The 25,211-nt window shown below is 53.1% G+C and overlaps 1 long non-coding RNA gene across 3 annotated transcripts, besides 7 other annotated features; it reads left to right on the top strand.

Moving 5' to 3' along the window:
• Nucleotides 210–1,113: an enhancer, noted in NCBI's record as "H3K27ac-H3K4me1 hESC enhancer chr2:9960421-9961324 (GRCh37/hg19 assembly coordinates)". NCBI's record gives its function as "activates a minimal SCP1, AML or CMV promoter by ChIP-STARR-seq in naive H9 embryonic stem cells {active_cell/tissue: H9 hESC(naive)}" and the evidence as "EXISTENCE:reporter gene assay evidence [ECO:0000049][PMID:30033119]".
• Nucleotides 210–1,638: a biological region, named in NCBI's record as "MED14-independent group 3 enhancer GRCh37_chr2:9959896-9961095".
• Nucleotides 439–1,638: an enhancer, noted in NCBI's record as "MED14-independent group 3 enhancer chr2:9959896-9961095 (GRCh37/hg19 assembly coordinates)". NCBI's record gives its function as "activates an origin of replication core promoter dependent on BRD2, BRD4, P300/CBP and CDK7 cofactors, and independent of MED14, by STARR-seq in HCT116 cells {active_cell/tissue: HCT116}" and the evidence as "EXISTENCE:reporter gene assay evidence [ECO:0000049][PMID:35650434]".
• LOC105373421 (uncharacterized) lies at nucleotides 6,688–16,095 on the top strand. Of its 3 annotated transcripts, none has more exons than XR_007086206.1 (3): nucleotides 6,688–7,185; nucleotides 11,258–15,711; nucleotides 15,801–16,095. It is a non-coding gene; the product is annotated as an uncharacterized LOC105373421 (long non-coding RNA). The 3 variants fall into 3 exon arrangements; XR_922782.3 differs by lacking the exon at nucleotides 6,688–7,185 and having other exon boundaries at nucleotides 15,143–15,292; nucleotides 15,611–15,711; XR_922783.2 differs by lacking the exon at nucleotides 6,688–7,185 and having other exon boundaries at nucleotides 15,143–15,292; nucleotides 15,598–15,711.
• Nucleotides 11,463–11,963: an enhancer, noted in NCBI's record as "H3K27ac hESC enhancer chr2:9949571-9950071 (GRCh37/hg19 assembly coordinates)". NCBI's record gives its function as "activates a minimal SCP1, AML or CMV promoter by ChIP-STARR-seq in primed H9 embryonic stem cells {active_cell/tissue: H9 hESC(primed)}" and the evidence as "EXISTENCE:reporter gene assay evidence [ECO:0000049][PMID:30033119]".
• Nucleotides 19,918–20,753: an enhancer, noted in NCBI's record as "H3K27ac-H3K4me1 hESC enhancer chr2:9940781-9941616 (GRCh37/hg19 assembly coordinates)". NCBI's record gives its function as "activates a minimal SCP1, AML or CMV promoter by ChIP-STARR-seq in naive H9 embryonic stem cells {active_cell/tissue: H9 hESC(naive)}" and the evidence as "EXISTENCE:reporter gene assay evidence [ECO:0000049][PMID:30033119]".
• Nucleotides 20,291–20,585: a silencer, noted in NCBI's record as "tiled region #9983; K562 Repressive non-DNase unmatched - State 8:EnhW". NCBI's record gives its function as "represses a minimal TATA promoter and a strong SV40 promoter by Sharpr-MPRA in K562 cells {active_cell/tissue: K562}" and the evidence as "EXISTENCE:reporter gene assay evidence [ECO:0000049][PMID:27701403]".
• Nucleotides 20,754–21,589: an enhancer, noted in NCBI's record as "H3K4me1 hESC enhancer chr2:9939945-9940780 (GRCh37/hg19 assembly coordinates)". NCBI's record gives its function as "activates a minimal SCP1, AML or CMV promoter by ChIP-STARR-seq in naive H9 embryonic stem cells {active_cell/tissue: H9 hESC(naive)}" and the evidence as "EXISTENCE:reporter gene assay evidence [ECO:0000049][PMID:30033119]".

Genomic DNA, 25,211 nt, shown 5'->3' with positions numbered 1-25,211 from the left:
ACCCCAAACAGCTGGGATTATAGGCACATGCCCCCACTTCTGGCTAATTTTTTGTATTTTAAATAGAGACCGGGTTTGGCCATGTTGGCTAGGCTGGTCTCGTGCGATCCTCCTGGCCTCAAGTGATCCGCCCACCTCAGCCTCCCAGACAGCTGTGAGTACAGGCATGAGCCACTGCGACCAGCCATTTATATATATTTTTAATTGTTAAATTGTGTGGTGGCTCACACCTGTAATCCCAGCCCTTTGGGAGGCCAAGGTGGGTGGATTACCTGAGGTCAGGAGTTTGAGACCAGCATGGCCAACATGGTGAACCCCCGTCTCTACTAAAAATACAAAAAATTAGCCGGGCATGGTGGTGGGCACCCGTAATCCCAGCTACTCGGGAGGCTGAGGCAGGAGAATCCCTTGAACCTGGGAGGCAGACGTTGCAGTGAGCCGAGATCACACCACTGCACTCCAGCCTAGGCAACAAGAGAGAAATTCCATCTCAAAAAAAAAAAAAAAAAAAGAAAAATTAATAAATTGTTATTTTTTTATTTTTAAACATCTTTTTCAAATGTTTTCCATCTGCAGTTCATTGAATCCATGGATAAGGAAGGCCGACTGCCCTGGGTCCCGGCCTGCGCGCAGCGTTTCCCAAGGTGCTTCCACACACATGGTCTCCTTATAGAGTGGCCTCCCTCACCCCGAGGGGACAGTGAGGGAGACGGAGGCTCAGAGAGGCTTCCAGATTCCGCCTTAGACACAGTCATCGGGCGGGTTGGCAGCAACTGGCTTGCCGCTCCCTGAAATGCCATGAGCCGTATGTACTGTGCGCCTCCAAGGTGGCTGGCATCGTGCTTAACGCTATCTGCAGAGTCGTTCTGTCTTTACGGCACCTCCGTGGGGCATGGGTTGTTTTACTAAGGAGAAAAGCAGGAGACCGAGAAGTTGTGTAACTCGCCCACGTTCATGAAGCCACTGGGATCTGGAATCATCAATCGGATCCTTCTAAGTCCAGAGTCTGAGCTCTTACCCCTTCCCCTGCACCTGCTCCCCGCCCCCACTCCCGCCCCCACCCCCAGCTTCCTGAAGGAGCAGGGCGGTCTCTCCCAAAGCCAGCATTCCGATTCTGTGACTTCATCTGTGATTTCATCCTGGGAGTCGGTAGCAGCCCTCTTAGGTTTGCTCTCATGACCTCACCCTTTCTCTCCTAACCACTTGGCACCAACCAGCTTTCCTCCGCGTGACCTTGGGCAAGTCCTTTAACCTGGCTGGGTTGGTTCCTGGTGTATGAAGAGAGAAGAGAGGCCCACGGTGACTGCCGACACCTGGCAGGCTGATATCCAGGGCTCCTGTGTGGGCTTGTGGGTCTCCCTGGGACCAAACCCTGTGTGAAGAGCAGGCTCCAGGTTGGCTCCGTGTCAAGCAGGAGCTTGAGAACCCACAGGCCCGTGTTCTAGAAGCATATACAACCCCAGATCCGCACATACCAGCAGAGCATTAATGTCTCCCCACCACAAATGCCAAACGCTAGAGCTGAGAACGCTGGAGGGACCCTGGGATCTTTAGTGGGCCCAGCGTTGCTGCTGAGGAGGCCTGGGGACCCATGGCCGCACCGAGGTATGGTCAGGCCTGGTTCTGACATCACTCAGTTCCCCAGCTCTGTGCCCCAGCCACCCAACGGATGACACCTTGCCGAGTGTGGCGGCTCCCGGGGTTGCTCCTGTGGAACAGGGACTCCGAGCAGAAAATTCTCTGAAGGCAGGAACCACCTAGGGGTCTTGGGTCCTGAAAGGCGAACATCCTCTTTCGCCACCTCCAGGAAGCCCTTTTCAATATTTCTCACACTTGGGAGGCTAAGGCAGGAGGATAGCTTGAGCCCAGGAGGACTGAGGCTACAGTGAGCTATAATGACGCCACTGCACTCCAGCCTGGGTGCCAGAGCGAGACCTTGTCTCTTTAAAAAAAAAAACTGGGCCGGGCGCGGTGGCTCACGCCTGTAATCCCAGCACTTTCGGAGGCCGAGGCGGGTGGATCATGAGGTCAGGAGATCGAGACCATCCTGGCTAACAAGGTGAAACCCCGTCTCTACTAAAAATACAAAAAATTAGCCGGGCGCGGTGGCGGGCGCCTGTAGTCCCAGCTACTCGGGAGGCTGAGGCAGGAGAATGGCGTGAACCCGGGAAGCGGAGCTTGCAGTGAGCCGAGATTGCGCCACTGCAGTCCGCAGTCTGGCCTGGGCGACAGAGCGAGACTCCGTCTCAAAAAAAAAAAAAACAAAAAAAAAACAAAACAAAACAAAAAAAAAAACAAAAAAAAAAACTGGGGAGGGGAGGCGGGCGGGACATGTAATTTGGACATAGAAACACACAGGAAAATGCCATGTGAAGATAAACACAGATGTGGGGGATGCTTTCTGTTTTCCCCTATGGTTGATGTTTATTCAATTTATTTGTTTTGGTTTTTCTCTGTTTTAGGGATCACCCCTCCCCATACAATCTGACTGAATTTTACTTACTGAATAAGTAACACATTAACAATGTTACAAAAGTTTGTTGAAACGATGCAAAAAAGGTATACTCAGGGAAATATCCTTCTGTCCCCTTTCCCTTCTATTCCATTCCCTCCCACCTCTGTAGGTAATTAATTTCATTAGTTTCTAGTTTATCTTTCTTGTGTTTCTTTTTGCAAAAATAAACAGATTTGTATATTTTTAAAAATTTCTCTTTCTTACACAAAAAGTAACATACCACATGTGGATTTTATTTTTTCTACCTGCTAACATATTCTGAAAATAATTCCATAACAATTTATAGAGCCCTTCCTCATTCCTTTTTCAGCCGCCTTCTTAATTCACTAGGTTGCTTTAGGGGAATGGAGGCAGAAATCCAGGCGAGTTTGCCACCTTTGTAACAACAAAACCCTAATGTTCTTCTTTTCCTAATCATTGCTATTGAAATATTAAGCACCATTTATTTCCCTCCCTCCCTCCTTCCCTTCCTTCCTTCTCTTTTTTTTTCTAGCTTAAACACACATAGTAGATAGAAGTCTACTGCTTGCCAGGTCTTGGTCAAGGTGGCTGTTCCTGGGCGTGGGTAGCTTTCCTCCACTGAGTGACTCAAGGATTGAGGTTCCTCCCAGCCTCTTGCTCCACCATCCCCTATGGTCTCATCATCATCTGCAAGCAGCTGGGAGAAAAGGGTTTGTGAAGGAAGCACACTCACACCTTACTTTTCAACTAAAAAAGTCAAAGTGCACAAATCACGTACAAAAAGTGCACAAGTCATAAGTATATATCTTGTTGAACTTTAACAAAGTGAATACATCATGTAAATCACTACCCATGTTAAGAAACAGGACATTATAATATTATCATCATCCAGTCCTTACCTCCCAAAAGTAGCCAGTCTCCTGACTACCATGCATTAGTTTTGTTTGCTTTTGAACTTTATATAAATGTAGTCACAGTTTATACACACTCGGGTCTGGTTTCTTGGACTCGAGACTCATGTCATTGTGTGTAGTGGTATTAATAGTTTGCTTCCCCTTCATTGTCATATAGCACTCCATTTTATAAACATATATTCATCCATTCTCTTGTTGATGGACATATGGAAAGAGCAATGGCTGCTGAGTACTGTACTTGTTTCTTGGTACATCTGCATGCATTTCTGTTGGCTGTAAACCTAGAAGTGGACTTGCTGGCTCATAGGGTGTGCAGATATTCAATTTAGTAGACAGAGTTTTGATGTTGTTGCCCAGGCTGGAGTGCAATGGCACAATCTCGGCTCACTGCAACCTCCGCCTCCCGGGTTCAAGCGATTCTCCTGTCTCAGCCTCCTGAGTAGCTGGGATTACATGCGCCTGCCACTATGCCCAGCTATTTTTTTTGTTTTTTTAGTAGAGATGGGGTTTCACCATGTTGGCCAGGCTGGTCTCGAACTCCTGACCTCAGGTGAACCGCCTACCTCGGCCTCCCAAAGTGCTGCAATTACAGGCGTGAGCTACTCTGCCTGGCCATCTTTTTCTTCTTTTTTTTAAACTCTGGCCAGAGGAATTATAGAAGGTTCTTGAGAAGCTGGCTTTAAAAAGACCATACATAGGCCAGGCACAGTGGCTCATGCTTATAATCCCAGCACTTCGGGAGGCCGAGGCAAGAGAATGACTTCAGATCAGGAGTTCAAGATCAGCCTGAGCAACCTAGTAAGATCACCAGCTACACAAAAAATTTAAAAATTAGCCAGGCACGACGATGTTTGCCTGTAGTCCTAACTACTTGGGAGGCTGAGGTGGGAGGATTGCTTGAGCCCAGGAGGTACAGTGAGTTGTGATCGCGCCACTGCACTACAGCCTGGGCAACAGAGTAAGACCCCGTCTCAAAAATAAAAATAAAAGCCTATAAACAATGATCAGGACCAGGACTGTACTGGGGGAGAAAAGGAAAAGAAATGTCGGGGAGAGGGAGTCCACGGGCAAGATCTGCAGGCCGCAAAGTGACTGGTGGATTTTAGGAATAGTCCAGACTAGTGTGTAGGACTATAGGCCCCTGTGGATTGGACATGGGCAAGCTGTCCTTAAGAAACATCTGGCCAGGCATGGTGGCTCAGGCCTGTAATCCCAGCACTTTGGGAGGCCGAGGTGGGCAGATCACTTGAGGTCAGGAGTTCGAGACCAGCCTGGCCAACATAATGAAACCCCATCTCTACTAAAAATACAAAAAAAAAAAAAAAATTAGCCAGGCATGGCAGCTGGCGCCTGTAATCCCAACTACTTGAGAGGCTGAGGCAGGAGAATTGCTTGAACCCAGGAGGTGGAGGTTGCAGTGAGTTGAGTAGCAGAGCAAGACTCTGTCTCTCTGTCTCTCTCTCTCTCTGTCACACACACACACACACACACACACACACACACACACACGCACACACAGAGAAACATCCCAGTGTGGTTAAACCTCTGGGCCTCTTCCTGCCTCTGATTTTCATCAATGAGAATGGGAGAATATTAACTTCTCTCACAGGATACAGAGTATGTTAAGGAGTCGTAATTCATCAATGTTGTATTGGTTTTTCTCTTTCTTTCTTTCTTTCTTTTTTTTTTTATCCTTTGTTGGTGCTTTGCTGTCTGTGTGGAGGACACAGAGAGTCATAAACCACGATCTCCTCTCTTCCAGAGTTCCTTCTTGGCGTTAGAGTCATCGGCCGGCTGTGTTGTAGCCAATGTGCTGAGCTTTGCGGCTCCTGGAGCTAGCTCCCTTCCTCTCCGCTGCCTCCATGCGTGGAGGTCACTTGCTGGAACGCAGATGTGTGCAATGCCCAGAGATCCAAGTAAAATATCTCAACCGGTTCTTGTGGTTGTGGAAACACCTTTGGCTCCCAGATGGTTGACACTGACAAACAGAAGTCCCTGCTCCGTCTGACATCACGTGGCTCAGCTGCCTTCTCAAAAAGTGAGCTTCCTGTGTGGATAAGGCAGCCCCATAGCCAGCCTGGCAACAGACAGCTTCATGAGAAGGGAAAAGATGAAGACGGATTCCCGGGCGAGGCCGACAGTGAGGCCGACAGTGGATCCGCCATTCCTGCCTGAGCCTCTTCCACAGCTGTCCTTTTTAGAGGTCACCAGACCTTCCTCACACAGACCTCATGGTGCCCGCACCTGGACTCATTAGAAGGTTCTGTTGCCTTAGCTTAGTAAATTTTCATGGAGAGCTTTAAGTTTTTCTTTTTGCATGTTATCCTCATGGTTGTACTCTCCAGGGGGCTTGTTCCTTCGGTAATTATCTTTAATGACGGTATTTCCATATTGACGCGAGGTGGGTGGGGTGTTGAAGAGAGAGGGAGACTCGAGACGGTGCATTGACTCTGGATTACATTAGAGGGGTTAGATGGATGAGTGTTAGTTACATCCCAATCAGAACATTTGCACCACTAGGTTTCACCAAATGCCAATCATACTGGACTGAGCTCCTCTGCTCCTCTCCCTGAAACATTAACAAAAAGTCATTAACAAAAAGCCTTCCTGTTCTGAAGGCAAATATCTATCTATCTATCTCATCAGTCTTAGGGCTGGAAGAGATGCAGCTCTGGGCTGGCTCTGATGCGGACTTGTCACAAAGGCTTGGGTAAGTGACTTCATCTTGCTAGGGAGAAATGGTCCCTTGTCCCACGTTCAAATGGTCGCCACCTTCCAGCTATAGTAGGATCTAGGGTGGGGGCAGAGCTGAAGGCTAACCCTGGGCCAATGGGTCAACATGATGTCATGTGCATTAAGCAGGAGATTGTCCTTGGGGACCTGAGAAGACGCCTAGGGTCAAAGGAAGCTGATTTTTCTGGTTATTAGAATGGTCCCATTTCTCTGATTTCAGGGACTTCAGAAGACTTCTAGATTTGGTCTCCCCAAAGCCTGAAATGTCACTAGGGGTCACCCCCTTGACTAAGAGTTTGCTTGCTGAGGGCTCCTGTTAAAATGCTCAGCGTCACCAAGCAGGGCTGTTTGCATGCACAACGCCTGCTCATAGACGCACATTCACCTGCAAGCTTCCCTGGCTGTCTCTTAGCAGAGCCTGGACGGAATGGGATTAGGGAGGCCAATTCTGAAAGACTGAGCCTGAGGCCGGGGGACAGGACATTGGGAGGACATGTCCTTGTATGGCCTGCTAGGGAGGGTGTGGCAGACAGTGAGGACAATGGGCGGGCACGCCAGGGCAGCAGACGGTGGCCAGCTGCTCTTGGAACCGTCCCTCTCCAGCCCACCTCTTTGTACCATGCTTCAGTGCAGGACACTCTCACCTCGAATATTGCAGCAGCCCCTTCCCTGGTCTCCCGTAGCGCCTACCCCGCACTGAGGCGTCCCTGGGGAAGGGAGAGGCCAGGCGGCTGGAGTCTGCTTCCTATGGGGGCTGCCCCTGGTCTCCGGCCTTCTCCCTTCTCCTCTCCAGTCCTGCCCTCATAGGTAGCGAGAGGGGTCGAGGGCCTTTAAGAAGCTTCCCGAGATCTTCTGAATCCTCAGCAATCTCCTGCCCTGGCATTCAAGGCCTGCCTGTCTAGGATCCTGTCTCTGCAGCTCTGCCCACGTGACCGTATCCTTGGAAGAAAAAAAAAATGGGGATGCACAAAGTGACCAGCACAGGGTATTCGTGATGACCGGGGAACAGAGATTGAGAAAGCAAGAGCCTTCCTGGCAAATCTGGGTTCAGACGCGGCAGAGGTGGGTACTGTGCCTCCAACACGTTTTCACAGCTCAGTTCTCACGGAGTCCCCATCACTGGGCTGACTGAGCCCCTCATCCTGAAAGGCCAGGGGGCCTTCTTTAGCGAGGCCGTCTCGCTCTCCGGTGTCCCCCTCCGCCCTTGCTGGTTCATCCAGAGGGGCCAGGGCGCTTAGCCCTAAGTGAGGGGTTGACGGCGCCACCTGGTGGCACCGCGCCTCCATCGCGCTGAACGCTGCTGATTCCAAAGCTTCGGGGCTCAGGGTCTCTGATGGGAAGACCTCACTCTTTCAGCCTGTGTGTCCTGGCTTCCCAGGCCATGGCAGTGCTGGGGCACTTAAAGTACCTTTGGGCCTCCACACAGACTTCTAACTCAGGGTGGACAGAGGAGAGAGCATTCTGGAACCTGCTGGGCTGTCCCAACCCCATCCCCTGGGAGTTTCAGCACAGGATGCACTGGGACTGGCCAGGCCTTTGGAGGAAGGGCGTGCCCGGGGGTGAGACCACAGCCCCCACTCGCCACGGCACCCAGGGGTTCCCAGGGAGCCTGGGCAGCCTGTTGGCCAGAGCTTGGGATGGAGGCGTCCCTGGGGAAGGGAGAAGCCAGGCAGCTGGAGTCTTTGCTTCCAGGAGAACCACTGGCAGCCTTCCTGTGGGTGCTGTCCTGGGATCGGGACTGGGCCTGGGTAGCATGCGTCCTGCCAGAGAGGAGATGTGGGCAGAGTTTGGCCAGGCCACTCAGGCATCCCTTTCCTGTGGGCGGGTGGGCTTCCCTTCCTGAGCCCCAGACGTGCGAGATCATTGCCAGGACTTTCTGCCAGCAGCCATGGCAGTGATAGGACACTGAAAGCACCTTTGGGCCCCCACCAGGATGGTGGACAGGGGTCCTTGCCACCCCCTCCTCCCCCACGCTCCCCCCACAGCACTGTCTGTTCCCTGGACGCTGTGCTGAACCTCTGCTCCAGTGCTCGTCTTGGCTCCAGCCTCATAGAATCGCCTTCCCTTTCTTCCCAACCAGCTTCTTCAGCTCGTCTTGGCTCCAGCCTCATAGAATCGCATTCCCTTTCTTCCCAACCAGCTTCTTCAGCTTCTTCTTTCTTCTTCTTCTTCTTCCTCTTCCTCCTCGTCTTCCTCCTCTTCCTCTTCTTCTTCTTCCTTTTTCTGAGATGGAGTTTCACTCTTGTCGCCCAGGCTGGAGTGCAATGGTGCCATCTGGGCTCACCGCAACCTCTGCCTCCCGGGTTCAAGTGATTCTCCTGCCTCAGTCTCCTGAGTAGTTGGAATTACAAGTGCCCGCCACCACGCCCAGCTAGTTTTTGTATTTTTAGTAGAGACGGGGTTTCACCATGTTGGCCAGGCTGGTCTCGAACTCCTGACCTCAAGTGATCCGCCCACCTCTGTGTCCCAAAGTGCTGGGATTACAGGCATGAGCCACCGTGCCTGGCCTTCCATCTAGCTTTGATTCACCTCAACAAACGTTTTCCAATTCCCATGCCCTGGGCCTGGGCGACCTGAATCCGTTCCAGCCCTGTGAGCTTATGGTGATGCTGGAGAAGTCAGGCGGGTAAACAGATCCTATCAGTGAAACTGCCCTTCCCTGAGTCAGCCTAAGCCCCACTTCCTCTAGGAAACCGTCCCTGCCCCACTGTGCACAGTTGGTTTGTTTGAGAGCAGGGAGACGCCCAGCTCCAGTGGGGGCTCAACAATGCTGCCCTAGCCAGGGAGCAGACACCTCACTGCTGCCATGTGTGGAAAGTCAGGGGCAGGGGACTTCTCTGGGGTCTGGTCTGGGCCCCTATGTGTGGCCCCTCGCTAATTTCAGGCCCAAGTGGCTGGGGCAGGCACAGGGCCCTGAGAGTCTGGGGGCAGCTTCTCCGAGCTCTCAGGCTGTGAGGGCCTGAGCGGCCAGCCCTTCTCCAGGGCAGCACTGGGAAGGGTTCACAGGCTTGCCAGGTTAAGGCCCGCCACCTGCGATAATGGCCCGGATTTGGATTCTGCTACTACAAGCATAAACATGTGACAGGAGGAGGCCAACAGCGGCTAACAGAGCAGTGGCGCCCGGAGCATCTGCCGGGAACCAGCAGGACACACAGGAGGGGGACACCGGGGCTCCCGGGGGGAACTGGCCCGGCCGCCGGGGCAGGATAACAGGACTGAAACGGGTCTGCCGGTTCTCTCTGGCCAGCTGCAGGACTTCCCACCCTTTTCCCAGTCAGGGAGTGTGTGATACTGCGCCACTGCCACAGAGCACAGACTGGGGTGGCTGAGACTCCGCCATTTACTCCCTCACAGTTTGGGAGCCAGGAGGTCCAAAATCAAGACAGGGGCAGGGCCAGGCCCTCTGATATTCTGGGCAGAATCCTGCCTGCCTTTCCAGCCGCTGGCCTGGCCGGGAGCCCCCGGTGTCCTGGCCTGCAGCGGCAGTGCCTCGGCCTCTGCCTGTCCCCACGAGGCGTCTCCCTGTGTGTCACTGTCCTCATGTACCATTGTCTTCCTCTTATAAGGACAGTTGTATTGGATGACAGTCCGTCCTAATGGCCTCATCTGAACTTGATTACTCTGCAAAGATTCAGTTTCCAAATAGGTTCACCTTCACAAGTACTGGGGTCAGGACAAAAACATCTCTTTTTGGGGGGCACAATTCAACCCTGAACGGGGGAGAAACTGAGCTTTGGTGAGATGAGGGGCAGAGCCTGGCACTACGAGTTCCAAGCTTGACGTTTCTTTCCAGTCCTGAGTTTTAGCTTAAAAATTCTTGCATTTCTGCATTATTCTCTATTCTGAGTCATGTTTGCTTTAACAGGAAATACAGTATGATTTCTTCAAATCTTTGCCACTTCAACATGAAGAAACGTGTTTATCCTGTGGCTCCAAAATCTTCAATGTGTTTCTGAATTTTCTCAAGGGAATTTCTCCCCAATTAGAAAAGTATAAACCAACCTGGATTCATGTAGTTCTCATAAAAATCCAGGCTAGGCACGATGGCTCAGGCCTGTAATCCCAGCACTTTGGGAGGCTGAGGCAGGTGGATAACCTGAGGTCAGGAGTTCTAGGGCAGCTTGGCCAACATAATGAAACCCCATCTCTACTAAAAATACAAAAATCAGCCAGGCGTGGTGCACGTGCCTGTAATCCCAGCTACTCGGGAGGCTGAGGCTGGAGAAATGTTTGAACTCAGGAGGCGGAGGTTGCAGTGAGCGGAGATCACACCACTGCACGCTAGCCTGGCCGACAGAGCGAGACCCCATCTCATAAAAACAAACAAACAAACAAGCAAACAACAACCCAGTGAAGTATGCATAGTTAACAGAAGAGGAAATCGAGAGGTTAATCTGCTAAGGTCATACCTCATAGGTATAGGATAGGTATACGTAGGGGAGTCCACGTGAGAATTCAGTTCTTTTTTGGCTTATTGATCAGGTTAGGGTTTTGTTTTTTTTTTTGGAGTCTTGCTCTGTCGCCAGGCTGGAGTGCAATGGCACAATCTCGGCTCACTGCAACCCCCGTCTCCTGGGTTCAAGCGATTCTCCTGCCTCAGCCTCCCCAGTAGCTGGGATTACAGGCATGTGCCACCATGCCCAGCAAATTTTTGTATTTTTAGTAGAGACGGGGTTTCATCATGTTGGTCAGGATGGTCTCCTGACCTCGTGATCTGCCCGCCTTGGCCTCCCAAAGTGCTGGGATTATAGGCGTGAGACAACGCGCCCGGCCTGTTTTGTTTTTTACCATAAGTGCATGATGAGGGGAGATGAGGAAAGGGGAAGAGAGAGAGAGCACTGTGACCATCCCCTAGCCCAGGAGAGAGATTTGTATGCCTGTTGTGAAAAGCAGGGATGGGAATTCTGAAATAAAAACACAGTTGGACAGTTTCCCACGGAGTGGTAACATAAACCCACCCAGGCCAACCATATTCAAGTGCTGTCTATCTACCCAAACGCCCATGTCAGAAATGCCCTCCGGTGCTTCCATGTAGAAGGGAGAGAAGCACTTTTACATTTTAGTTCTGCTTGTTATTTGGAAGTTATTTTAAAGGTCATTGAAGTGGGCTTTTTGTTGTTGTTGTTGTTAACAGACAGCTGTTTCCAGCCACTGCTATGAACCCATCTAAGTGAAATTGTGAGGACTAAGGAGAGAGGCACCCATGACTGCCTTAATCCACTCCTACCCATCGTCTCTTCACCCATCCACCCATCCTTGCTGCAGACCTTTACTGGGCACCTGTGCCAGGAGACCATCACTGCCCATCAGAAGCTCATACAGGGAGAAGCAGTGGCCACAGCAGAAGGCGTCCCGGGTCCTAGAGAGCACCTGGAGAACAAGGGAGAGCTGCAGAAACCGCCCTGTCTGCATGTGTGCCCTCATGTTCTTGGGTGCATGTCTGTGTTTGTGTGTGTGTTTGCTTATGTGCATGTGCAGTGTGTGTGTGTTCGAGACAGAGCGAGACTGAGAGTGCAAGTGGGTGTAAGCACACACACCCACCCGTCAGCCCTGCCTGTCTGCTCAGAGTTTTGCCTGTCACCCGGCCACGCCCTGTGACCCCCCTCCTCGGCTGGGTGCAGCCAGGACACCTGTTGCCAGCTGCGAGCACCTGCCTGGTTGCTGCGCCCGTGTCCTGTGCATGTTCCAAGCCAGCCCCCTGGGGTAATCCAGGCCATGACTCAGGAACGTCATGTTGGGACACCCGAGACCCCCAGCCCCTGCCCTAGGGGTCAGGGCAGCAGGTCCCATCTCCCTTAGCTGGGCTGGGCCCAGGCAGCCTGTATCACTGTTTGCTCCAGAGGCTGGGTGCGTCCTGCTTGGGGGCTGTGTGAGGCCCGCTTGTTTTCACCCACAGATTCCCAGGGTTCTCAAGGCAGAGGAAAGCGACAATTAGGGCAACACCCATGTTGGTTGGATCAGAGTGAATCCCAGGCCTGCTTGGGAGGCTTTAGGCACTCAGCTCGGCCATCTCTGAGGGTAAGGGCATGTCAGCCACTCTGCTGGGGCATCTCTGTGCTCAGCACCATGTGGGCTCATCACAGACACAAGAGTGCGTCCTCTCAGAGGGAATGGTCTGGCAGGTTTTGCCTGTTTTCCTGCTCACAGGTTGAATTTCTTGGCCAGCATCCCATAGCCAGGCCAGAGCGGAGCAGGGCTGCCTGCTGCACCCAGTGGCTTCTTGTCAATCTCGGCCTCTCGTTCCCTGCCTGGGAGAGGGTCTCAGTGTGAAGGGCAGAGGGGTCTTCTGGAACCAGCCAGTGCTGTGTCGGAGAGAAAGACCAGGAGGAAATTGGAGGGGTACAGGCCTGAAACTCTCCCGCTGCCTTGCCAGGCACCCAAACCTGCTTGACCTGAGTGTCTTTCCGGCGGCGGGTGGGGGGGAGGGGGGTGGGGCGTGCTGCATCGCTTACTTTGCCTGTGTCTTAGGGGAGCCTACCCATTGCCCTCCAGCACCGGCGAACAAAGACCCCCACGGTGGCCAGGCCTGTGCGGGGTGTAAACAGTGTCCCAGGGTGTCTTGGTGTCCTCACTACTACATCCTCCACGTTCCAGAGGAGAAACTGAGGCCCGAGGACACCCAGAATTTCCCAGGGTCACACCAAGGGGAAACAGGTGACGTTGAAGTGGACACAGGGTGATGAGAGGGGTGCAGAAAAGGAGATACCCTGGCATGCCAAGCCTGGGGCTGGTTGTCCACATCCAGGAAGGTCCCTGCAAGGTTGTGGCACCTTTTCATGGCAAGCAGACGCAGCACCATGAATACCCACAGCCACTCCTAAGGGCCCCTTCATGCGGTGGCTGTGCCCAGCACTGGGCACGCAGGAACCAAGGCCCAGAGAGTTCTGGGTGGGTGGGGAGAGCTAGAGCCTTCCTTCTGGGCTCCAGGGCTTTTCAGTAGCACCACTGGCTTTCTAGAAGGTTGCTGTGTGATTGGAAACTTGTGCTTTGAGATACGATTATCTGTGTGGGGAGGAGGTTGTACTGGAGTCAGCAGTGAGGGGTGGCAGCACTAGGCCAGAAATGGATGTGGGGTCCTCTTGCGTGGAGCTGCCACTCCCCCAGCCACTCTGTCCTTACAACCAAAACCCCAAAAGGGGGCTGAGCCGGCCCTTGTGAGTGAGAGTAGAGGAGAAGGAAGGGGCTGTGGGGGGAGAGAAGCACATGGAGCTGGCCCACGTGGAGAGAGGGACCCTGGGTGGCAGGGTGGCGTTGGGGGAGATTTGCCATCAGAGTGACCTTAGTGACTGTGCCACCTCGACCCTGACCTGGGCAATGCCTGTGAGGGCACTGGGGCCCAAGGTCCCAGAGGAGCAGGGGAACTAAGATGTGGCTCTCACAGAACCTCAAATGTATCTCCAGACATCCACATATCTGCACCTGACACACATTTCTGGAACAGCTACTTGGCCAAGCACCACCAGTTTGTCTCTATGCCCCTCTTGCTGGGGAGCCCAGTCTGGGGCAAAGGAAGGCACAGGGGCATCCGCTCCAGGCTTTCCAGAATAGGCAGAACACAGAAGGGGTGCCCGCCGGACACGCGGAGGGAGGAGATGAGAAGAGTCCCCAGCGCCAGAAGGGGTGGAGACGGCCTTGCTGGGGCAGGGCCACAGGTCACCTGCTGCTGGGCTCTGGCTGCAGTGGGAAACAACCAAAGTTTTAAAAAGAGGGTGAACCTCTTAGGAAAGGAAATGACATTTATAAAGAGGTAGGGACGTGGGGGCAGGGATGATGGCCTTGGTGGCCACAGCTCTTAAACCAGTGGGGAGGAGGCAGCCACGCCAGCATGGTGAGATCCAAGCCGCAGTGACGGGGCTGCACTCGCTCCAGGTAGATTGCTCAAATGGAAGCTTCTGGATGGATAACTAAGGCAGCACAACCCCCAGTCATTGTCTGAGGGCCACCCTGGGGGATGGAGCGAGTGCAGGCCAAGTGGATGCAGGGCCCACGGCCAGTTTCCAGGGTGAGCTGCAGGGCAAGCCGTGGGAAGCCCCAGAGGCAGACGCTGAGGGATGGGCACCCCAAGAGAGTCCAGGGATCCGAGGCCACCTGGGTGGAGCCCGGACAGCGTCTACTCCAGGGAGCAAAGCTGAGGCAGGAGCCGAGGGCTTTCCAGTGGATGTGGAGACTTCGGCTTACTCCCGCACTGACTTTATCCCATTTCTGAGCCTGTCGGCACGTGTAGAGCATTTTGGGCTCAGTTTCTCTAGAGACTAACTGTGGCCTCCCATGGGGTGGGGACAGGACAGTCTCCCGGCTGCATGGAATGGGATGCCGACCGAGGGACGGGCTCTCTCTTAAAGACTTGCCACCACACCTCTCTTGTCCATGCCAGGCTTCTGGGGTCCCCTCTGCTGCAGGTGCTTCGGGAGTCTCAGTGGTTCTTCAGGGCAAAGCTGGCCCTGACCGTGTGCTGCATGCCCGGAGGTCTGACATCGGTGCTGCTGAGTGGCCTGCCGTGGTTCTCTTGGTTTCCCATCTTGCAAAGAGTCGGTGAACTCTCACCTGCTCTTGTCTCCTCGTCTCTGTGCCCTGTCCTCCTGCGGGGCTTGGGAAACCATAGGTGATAAACACATGAGCCAATCTGCCATCTCCACTGGAGCCAATGCTCTTTCTGTGTTCCCATTGGCCTGCCTAGGACTGAGGTCAGCTCCAGGGTCAGAGGCAGGACTGGAGTTGGGTTCTAACTGAGGCAGAGACAGGGCTTGGGAGAAGAAATCAAGGTGGAGGGCAGAGGCTCCAGGTCTTTGCCAGGCTCACCTCAGAAGTGGGTGTGTCAGGCTGTCCAGAGTGGAGTGCACAGAAGCTGGGGCTTTGACAAGGGCAGGGTGACCAGTCCAGGCTGGCCTCAAAGGCAAGAGCTTGACTGCAGGGCCAGCAGGCGTGTGATGTGGGTGGGCCCTAAGGAGGCTGAGGGAGAGGATAAACTGTGAAGAGCCAGCAGCCCAGAAGCTAAATGCAGGGAGGCAGAGAAGACAGGAGAGATGGAGGCTTGCAGGACCTGGTGGTTGGGGAGGGCCAGTGACCAGGTGTTTAGAAGCAGCACCTCCTGTGATTGGGGCTGAGGGTGAACTCTGCTTTCAAGCAGAGGTGGTTTGTCGTGGGTCTTCCATGATGACACCAGGTCAAGGTAGGCTGTTAGCACTGAGGCCTGTGGGAAGGCGAGGCCCGTGGGCAGAGTCCCAGAATGGGAGGAAAATGAAGACAGCCACTGCAGGGACTTGGGTGTCATTCTGAAGGAAGCCACTTAATGGTAAATGGAGCAACAACATGGTAGCCTTTCCTCTGGGGGAGCCCAGAGACAAGGGGGGTCTGGGGAGGCAGGCAGGCAGGCAGGCAGGTCAGGCCAGGGAGGGGCTGTGCCCAGCAGGGAATGGATGGCACACTCCCTCCCAGAAAGGCTGCTGCAGGGCTCAGCACTCTGAACCTTAAAAGGTTTACCCAACAGAGCCTCCAGATGCTCAGAGTCTTGCAGGCTCAGAACAAGAATTGTCAACTTGCCAAGATGAATCTGTCTCTCGGGGGAGGACCCACACAGAACAAACGTTTGTGAGTGATGTATACAATTTATGTTGAGGCATGAATGTTAGAAGAACTGACTTTTTGCATAGGCATGACCAGAGCATTTTTCTTTCTAGGAAGCAGAAGTTTGCTTGGTAAACATGGAATCGGAACATGGGAATTGGGCCACTGGGATATTCAATTGCGTCAGACCATTGTAGCTGATACTCCTGGACAGAGGGGCTTTGCCAACTGGACAGATATATGAAGTGTTGCTGACCGAGCTCCTTGCTCTGTGTGGGAGGGATCTTGCCAGCTCCAGCCTTGGTGGGTCTCCTTTTTCTGTTTCCAAGCTTAAATAAGCACTTGGCTGTTCTGATTAGCACTTTTAAAAGCTGTGTTAATAAGTTCAATTAAAATAGAAGAATCTCTCATTCTGTCATATCGGGTTTTTTTAATTGCAAACCAATAAAACTTAAATGAACTTGAGCAAAAGTTAATTTATTGGAAGGATATATGGGAGACTGTACTAGGGTTCTCAAGAGAAACAGAGACTGAAGCAGACAGACAGACTGACTTTAACAATGATCTCACACAATTGTGGGGGCTGGCAAATCTGAAATTTGGCCAGCAGGCTGGCAGGCTGAACATTCAGGCGAGTTGATGTTGCAGCTTGAGTCCAAACTCAACAGGACGGCAGGTTGGAAACTCAGGCAGGACTTCTGTGTTGCAGTCTCAAGAATTCCTTCTTCAATTTATCTATCTCCTCTCAAATTTAAGTCCTGGAGGCTGGAAGTCTGAAATCAAGGTGTCAACAGGGTTGGTTCCTTCCAAGGGCTCTGAGGGAAGGGTCTGTTCCAGGCCCCTCTCCTCAGCTTGCAGATGGCCATCTTCACCTTTATGTGGCATTTTCCATGTATATGTTCCTGTGTCCACATTTCCCCTTTCTATAAGAGCACCAGCCATATTGGATCAGGAGCCCACTTACTGTTAACTAATTACATCTGCAATGATCCTAGTTCTAAACGAGGTCACATTCTGAGGTACTGGGGTTAGAACTTCCACATATGAGTTTTGAAGGAACCATCTTAGTTTGTTCAGGCTGCTATAATAAGATACCATAAATTGAGTAGCTTATAAATAGCAGACATTTATTTCTTGCAGTTCTGGAGGCTGGGAAGTCCAAGAACAAGATGCTGGTGGATGTGGTGGCTGGTGAGGGTCTGCTTTCTGACTCATACATGGCACCTTCTAGCTGTGTCCACACTTAGTGGAAGGGGGTATGGATGAGCTCCCTTGGCCCTCTTTGATAAGGGCACTAACCCCATTCACAAGGGCTCCACACCCTTGACCTAATCACCTCCTGAAGGCCCCACGCCTTATACCATCACATTGGAGGATAAAATTTCAACATATGAATTTTGAGGGGACATAAATATTCAGAGCACAGCAAGACAAATTAAACCATAACAGGCCCAGGTGTAGTCCAGGTGCAGTGGTTCACGCCTGTAATCCCAGCACTTTGGGAGGCCAAGGCAGGCAGATCATCAGAGATCAGGAGTTCGGGACCAGCCTGGCCAACATGGTGAAATCCCATCTCTGCTAAAAATACAAAAAGTAGCTGGGTGTGGTGGTGGGCGCCTGTAATCCTAGCTACTTGGGAGGCTGAGACAGGAGAATTGCTTGAACTCGGGAGGTGGAGGTTGCAGTGAGCCGAGATTGCACCATTGCACTCCAGCCTGGAAGACTCCATCTCAAAAAAAAAAAAAAAAAAGAGTTAGCCGGGTGTGGTGGTGCACACTTGTAATCCCAGCTACTCAGAAAGCTGAGAGGCAGGAGAATCACTTGAACCCAGGAGGCAGAGGTTGCAGTGAGCTGAGATCATGCCATTGCACTCCAGCATGGACAAAAAGAGTGAAACTCCATCTCAAAAAAGAAAAACAACAACAACAAAAAAACGCCATAACGGAACATAATTCAAATAATAACAGGAACCAAGTTCAGAGGGGGCTGGAACTCAGGCTTGGGCATGGCCAACACCCAGGATAATTCCAGAGGCTTTGGAGCAGGGATCGCAACCTCTGACTCAGAGCCCAGCAATCAGGGCAGGCAGCTGTCTCTTAGCCCCTCGAGAGGACTGAGGCACCGCAGCCAGTTTCTTTGTCCCTCTTTTCAATAGCCAGACTCCAGGAGGGAGCAGTGACTGACCAGGCTGCGTAGGAGCCTGTCCCTTACCTGCAAGTGGGTGGCAGGGGCAGGGGGCAGGTGGGGAGAGAGGGCCTCGAATGGTGGTCCCACCAGACCCTCTCCTGTGTGGAAGAGGTCATTCCAATTTTGCACCCTGGGATACTGATAGGAAGAGGAAATGCAGGCAGGTAGCGAATGTGGCCAGCCCTGCTTCTTGAGTGACTCTCCCACCTCTTCCTGGATGCTTAGGTGTTGATTCCATGGCCTAATTCTCAGAGAGCACGGGCAGATGTGGATGCTGAGGTGCACAGGTATTGGAGCTGTTGCCCAACGTCTGGCTGGGAGCCAAGAAGCCCAGGTGTCCCTGACAGTGCACCTTGAACCTGGGCCCGCCGTCTTATGTGGAGCAATCGGCCAAGTGTGTGCCGAAGACCTTCCAGTCCAAATGTCTACAGTGGCTGTGTGTGCAGAGAAAGCGCTGGGCTCGGTCCCTGGAGCCGTTTCTCTAGCTCTCACATTTCTTTTTCCCCATCCTCTTGTAAGAAACTAAGGCAGTGCCCTTTCCCGGCTTCAGGGGAAGAGCTGAGGCCAGGTTTCAGGTGGGCCACGGAGGAGAAAGTACTGGGCTCTCGGGACTTCTCTCCCAGGGCCCTAGAGGATGTGGCTGGCATTCCCCCTAGGGACAGCACCCTGCGCTGCCCAGATGCCTGTCCCCTCCTTGATGGGGAACACGGAGCTTTCCTGGGCTGCTGGCCTACCAATGCCAAGAGGCTGGCCCACAGCCCCTCCAGACACAGCCAAGAGCCTTGCCTGGAGCCCAGTGTCAGCTGCAGGGCCTGGGACATTTCCGAGGAATCAGAGGCAAGGATGCCAGAGCTACGAGGAGCCTTAGATTCAGAAACAAGGCTCAGAGAAGGCAGCACCTCAGATAACTGGCTCAGAGAAGGTGGCCCCTCAAACGCTGCACAGCCAGCCCCAGGCTGATCCCATGCCAAATCCCTGTTCCCTCAACATGGCTCAAACTGGAGTCCCTCTGGATCTGTTTGGGAGTCCAAAATTATTTAGAAAGACTTTTTTTTTTTTTTTTTGAGACAAAGTCTCTCTGTCACCCAGCCTGGAGTGCAGTGGTGTGATCTCGGCTCAATGCAACCTCTGCAACCTCTGCCTCCTGGGTTCATGCGATTCTCCTGCCTCAGCCTCCCAAGCAGCTGGGATTACAGGCATGTGCCACCATGCCCAGCTAATTTTTGTATTTTCAGTAGAGTCAGGGTTTCACTATGTTGGTCAGGCTGCTTTCGAACTCCTGACCTCAAGTGATCCGCCCGCCTTGGCCTCCCAAAGTGCTGGGATTACAGGCATGAGTCACCACGCCCGGCCTAGAAAGACTTAATTGTGAGTTTGTAATCCAAGAAAATAAATCTAAAAAGAATACTATTTGCTTATTCTGATCAGGCCGACAAACCCCCAGGAGCTGTCTGGGCTCCCAAGACCTGAGCTGCCTTGAGGTTGGAACTGTTTTAACTACGGCAGGCTCAGTGAGAGAAGAGCCGAGAAGCCGGCGACGACATGGCCCAGGGATGTGGTGGGGGAAGGGGCTGCAGTTCTGCGGGCTCTGAGGTCTGCGGGTTCCAGACAGCCTCAGGCAGCTCGCAGCCCTGTGATTCATGCCTCATCTTGGCTCAGCAAATGGAGCCCCAAGCCAGAGGCAGAATTTTCTAGGCTGTGTGGCAAGAGAACTGAGTGTGCGGAGGTTGGGGGTGGGGGCTTCTGCCAAGATAGGAGGCTCTGACTTCCCCAGGGCAGCAGGAGAGCCAGGTGCCTGGATGAAGCAGGGAGCAAGGCTCCGGGAGGTGGGCCCCGGGGCAGCCCTGCTGAAGCCCACCGTTTCTCCTGGGTCTGAAATGAGTCTATTTCCCTGAAAAGCAAACTGGAAGACTCACAAAGAGGAAACGGGCCTCGAACACACACACGGCACCCTCTGCCCTAGATCCCCATGTCTGCCATGTTTCTACATCCTCCCCGGGTGCTGTCTGCCCCCACCCACTGAGAGGCCAGCTTCCGGGAGAGCTCAGGGTCAGGCAGTGCCCAGGAAGCCCACCACAGCAGCCCTTTGAGCCCAGGGTGGAGGTTGAGTCTCTGTGCTGTTGGTCACGAATTCTGTTTGGGCTTCTGCGAAGGCATGCCTTGCCCCGCCCTGGAGGTGTCGACAGAGTGGCCGGGAAATTTAGGTCAGCTCTGGGCAAGTCCCTGCAGGTGGGATCTAGTGACAGGAGAGACGGGCCTGGCTGTCAGCCGTGAGCTCTGCTGGGGACTGAGCACCCACTCGGATGACACATCCCCATTTCCTGGGCCCGCCCAGAAACCCTTCCCCTGGAGACAATGCGCTGTGAGTGGGCGTGGGAGCTGAGGAGCCCCTGGACCCAGCACTGCTGTCCGACTGCAGGCTGCCGCTTTGCCCTCATTCCCTGGGGCCTGGACCGGCTCGGCTCGTGGGGCCCCCTGCCTCTGATTCTTCAGTCAGTGACTTCTCTGAAGTGCCGGTCCAGCTGACCTGGGACCCTCTGTGGGATCTCTGCTCAAAGCACAGGCCTCCTGCTCAAAAGCCCCCTCCTCGGAGAGGCCTTCCCTGGCTCCTCAGAGCACTCCGGCCCCTCCACCCCCACCAGCTGCACCGTCCCTTGGGATGTTCACAGCACAGACACAGGCACAGTCCCGGAGGGGGTGGCTACGTTGTGTTTGTTTGATGAGGAATAAATAAATGATGTTGGGTAAACCCTCCCAGTTAGTAGACTCCTCCTCTCACCCCCTGAAAGCTTAGACTAAGGGTCTCTTAGGCTTCTGCCAGTGAGGAGTCCAAAAGGGACAAGAGGCTTCAAAAAGAGGACAAGCCCCCAGTGGACTCCACTCAAGCTGGGCTCCGAGAGGCTTAGGAGGCTTCCAGGTTCCACTGGCAGTGGGTATGAAAATCCCTTTGCTACAAGTATTCTGAAGCCATGCCTGAATTTCTCCCATTCATTCACTCATTCATTCACTCTTCATTCATTCATTCATTCATTCATTCATTCATTCATTCATGCCTGCCTGCTCATCTATGCTTGAGTGGAACAGGCCCAGCTGATGTCCTGTGTGTACCCGGCACAGCTGCCACAGCTCCCAGCCCATCCACTCTGCCAGCCCACCTGGCCCCACAGGGCCAGGCCTGCAGGTGTCCTCTCCCAGGCAGGGGGCAGAGGAGGCAGCTCACTTCAAAGGGCCCCTGGCTTTGCCTGGGTCACAGTCTGGAGCTCCCCACTAAGAGCCGAGAAGCGTGGCCCTACAGAGGGTCCCAAAGCCTGAGGAAGGGAAGATAGGGAACTGCCCAGAATTGGGTAGCACTACTTCCCCATTTTACAGACGAGGAAACTACAACTTAGAGAGAAGAGGTTTCTGGCCCAAAGTCACACAAAGTCAAAATTGGACCCTGGTCAACATGGAAGGGGAGGGAGTGGAAAAGAGATGGCAGGGGAATGGAAGGGAAGGAAGAGAAAAGAAGTCTCTGGAATCGGCATGGGAAATGAAGAGACTCCCCCAAGGCCCTGTCCTCATTTACCCTCTGCGCCTGGCCCTTCCCTGCCCTGCCGGCTGGATGTCCAGGGACCCACCCAGCCCGACCTGCTCTCTGCCGCGCTGCTCACACTCGGCTGCTGTGCGCTCCTGCCCTCTGGTGGCAAGATCTGGAAGCGCGTTGTCACTGCATCCCAGCACCTCTAGAGGGGAAACTAGGAGCAAGTCAGTTCACCACCCACTGTGTGCAAGACACTGAGCTGGAGACCTAGGGAGGAGGGAACACAGCCCCGTTTCTGAGAGTGCAAAGTTTAGGGGACAAGACAGACAGGCAAACAGACCACGGCAACACAATGAGATAGGGACTTGGCTGGGGGAAGCTCAGGTTGTTTTAAACCTAAAACAAGCAGCCCCCAAATCTATGAGGAAGAGCCTGCCTAGCAGAAGGTCCCACCATGCCCAGGAACATTTGGGCAGCACCTGCTCTGAGGGCTCTGGGCTGCCTGGCTGGGGTGGGACAGACCCAGAGTCCTTTCTGATCTGTCTGCAGCGAGAGCCCTGGAGCCAGAGGGGACCCGAGGAGGTTTGCAGGCTGTGGTCTGGGCAGGAAGGAAGGGCTGAGGTCCCCACCCTTCTTCTCCCTTTCTTAACCTAGTGCAGACCCAGCTGAAGCCAGCCTCACAGGGTTAACAAGAACTGCGGACAGTCATATAGCTATAATTAAGCATTCATCAGGCTGTACTTTGACCCACTTCCTTGTAACCAAAAGTCACGTAGCCCTAGGTACGGACAGTTCACATCCCCATGGTTCCTATTGATAGGATCTCTGACCTTAGAATCATAGGAATTTTGTTTAAGAATTGCTTAAGCAGATCCTGAATTCCATCAGAACAGCTGATGCCAACCAGCTCGAAGACCCCCACAGAGGAACGGAATCCGCGTGACAGTGAGGTTTCTTCATCTCCTTGTCCCGTGACTGCACTCTTCGACCAATCAAGGACCTCCACACTTTGACCCACTTCAAAACCCTTAAAAATTCGAGCCCCGAACTCCCTGGGGAGATGATGGATTGGGGGTTTCCTCCCATCTCCTCACTTGGTGGCCCTGCATTGATTAGACCTCTCTCTCTGCTGCAATGCGGCATCTTGCATATTGACTTCCTGCACGGGTCAGGCCATGAACCTATTACGGTTCCAGAGCTTCAGGCTGGAGAGGCAGAGTGACAAGAGGGTTCAGTAGAAGGCTGGGAGCCAGACTGCCTGGGGTCTTAACAGCAATTGCGTCCTCTGGGCTTCAGTTTTCTCTTGTGTGAAAAGGTAATAAGAACAGTGCCCACCTCTGAGGGTCGCCCTGAGGGTTAAACACACTGATACAGAGAAAGTGGGCAGAATGGTGTTTGGCCCATGGTCAGGGCTGATCATATCTGCTCTTGCCAATAATGCCAACTCACCAGCATCCAGCCCTCCTTTCTTTGGAAGAGTTTCCCATCTCACTCTCATGGCAGATAGTACCACCCAGAGTAGGTGCAGAGGCCCAGAGAGAGGAGGTGTCTCACGTGAGGTCACTGGGCGAGCAGCAACTGTGTTGAGCCTGGCACCCAGGCCTCTGGGCCTAGAGGTTGCAGCCTGGATTCCCAGCCCCCTTGTGTACCTTCTGGGCATCCCTGACTTCCGAGTCCCTGAACTGCCCTCCTCAGTGAGGAGTCTACTTTGCTACTTATTAACAGACTCTCTCACAGGACTGCTGGGCAGGTGCAGCCAGTTTCAGAGTCGCAGCATCCATAGCATTTGCTGAAGCATTGGCTACAGGCAACACCTGTATTGCATTTGTCTTCCTGGAAGATAATGAGCTCTAAAGCTTCACTGTGAAAAGTGTGGTCCCTGAGCCAGCAGCATTGGCCTCACCTGGGAGCTGGTTAGAACTGCACAATCATAGGCCCCTCCCAGACCTACAGAACTGGAATCTGCAGTTTAATGAGAGCCCCAGGCAGTATGTGTGCACCTTACCGATTGCCAGGGAAGGGTGTCTTAAGCAAATGGACTAAAGTGGGAGAATGAACTGTAGATGTGTCCACCGAGCCTGCCCTGGGCAGCACATGTGCCGGCACCCGTGCCAGGGTCTGGGAATTCTTGGGGGAGTCGGCCGAGGTCAGCGCCTTCAGGGAGTCCCCAGCTCCTGCTGTTAGCAGGTCTTCACGCGACCGCACATGCTGGCCAGACAGTGCTGGGAGGGAAGGAATAAAGGCCACGGGGGCCTGTCTGCTCGGAAGAGTCAGAATCTGGGCTGAAACTTGAGGGAAGAACCGGATAGGCCAGGCAGACGTGGGGGAGGGCCTTCCAGAAAGGGGACTCCCTGTACCAATTCCTGAGCTGGGTGTTTTCAGAGAAATGGGTACTTTGCAGACCTTACCCTAATACTTCCAGGTGCTGAGGCAAGAGTAGAATTGGAGGCCCACCTACTCTAAGTCTAAATATCTGCAAGTCATATAGCTGACAAACTATTAAATAAAATGTGTTCCAGCCTCTTATAAATATGCCTTCACAAGGATCTGGAAGGCCAGCTTTAAATTTAGTATTTTTGGACTCCTGGGAGTTCGGCACTACAACACAATGGTGTGGGGTGGGCCAGCCCCACCTGCCCCCTTCTGCTCTGTACCCTAAGTATGCACACATTCATGCATACATGCTGTGTCCCAGCCTGCCATCGTCCACATCCCCTTGTCCCACGAACAGCTGCCCCATGGGATATGCAAACCAGGTCAGCCTCAGGAGGGCAGACCCTGGGAAGAAGTTCAAGAAGGCCCTGGAAATGTGGGGAGGAGCATGGGCTCTGGGAGGGCACACCCCTTGACCTCATGAGAGGACCCCAGCTGAAGGGGCTCTGTGACGCTTAAAGTATGACACACCCTCAATTTTAAGACACATTTCAGAGACACATGTACTATATTTGCTGTCCAAAAGCCTTCTGGTTCTCTGACCATAAGAATTTGTTTAAACCTAATGTTTCATTGAATCTCTACATCAATTTGGGAATTATTAATAATAGGAACAATTTAAAATCTTCCCCATGTTGAATCTTGCAATCCATACACATAGGACGTCTTTCTGTTTATTTAGTTCTTTAATTTCTTTCAGTGAGGTTTTGTAATTTCCACGTAAAAGCCTTGCATCGTTTTGCTAAGCATTTTTATATTTGTTCCCCCTTTTACATCTTGAAAACCCTCTGTGAAGGCAGCATGGCGGTCATTATTAACCACACTGTGTAGAAGGTCAGAGAGGTTAAGAAACCTCAATTAGCAAGGGGCAATGCTGGGACTGGAGCTCTCATCCTCAGCCCCCTGGCAGAACCGGGCCTGGCCTTGCTCTGGTGAGGGTGACTTGTTCTAGCCCCTGCTATGTGTGTCCCTCTCCACCAGGACGACTGCTGAGCAGGTCCCAGCCTCCCTTCCCCCACTGACTGGAGAGAGGGGCTGGATGCTCGGGGGGTCCTCCAGGCAGGAGCAGGCAAGGGAGGGGAGCCTCTGGTTGTAACCAGGGATTCTCAGCCTTGGCTTTAATGGAAATCACCTGAGCGCTTTAAAAACTACCAGTGTCCAGACTCCACCTCAGACCAATTCAAGTCAACCTCCTACAGCCAGGGCCAGGGAACCTGTGATGATCCAAGTTGTTTAGCTGAGTGAGCAGCCAGGCTGGGAACCACAGGTGAGATGTGGGAGTTGGCTCAGTCAGTCCTGACCCATCCACGCCACCGGAGCAAGCGTTGAGGAAGGCAGGGCAGCCTGGGAGGGGAGTTCAGGTTTTATCTATTTAGAGTGTAGG

This window comes from Homo sapiens, chromosome 2 (assembly GCF_000001405.40).
Source record: "Homo sapiens chromosome 2, GRCh38.p14 Primary Assembly".
Classification (NCBI taxonomy): domain Eukaryota; kingdom Metazoa; phylum Chordata; class Mammalia; order Primates; family Hominidae; genus Homo; species Homo sapiens.
The sequence above is the reverse complement of the archived record's forward strand: the minus strand, read 5'-3'. Positions and strand labels throughout refer to the sequence as shown.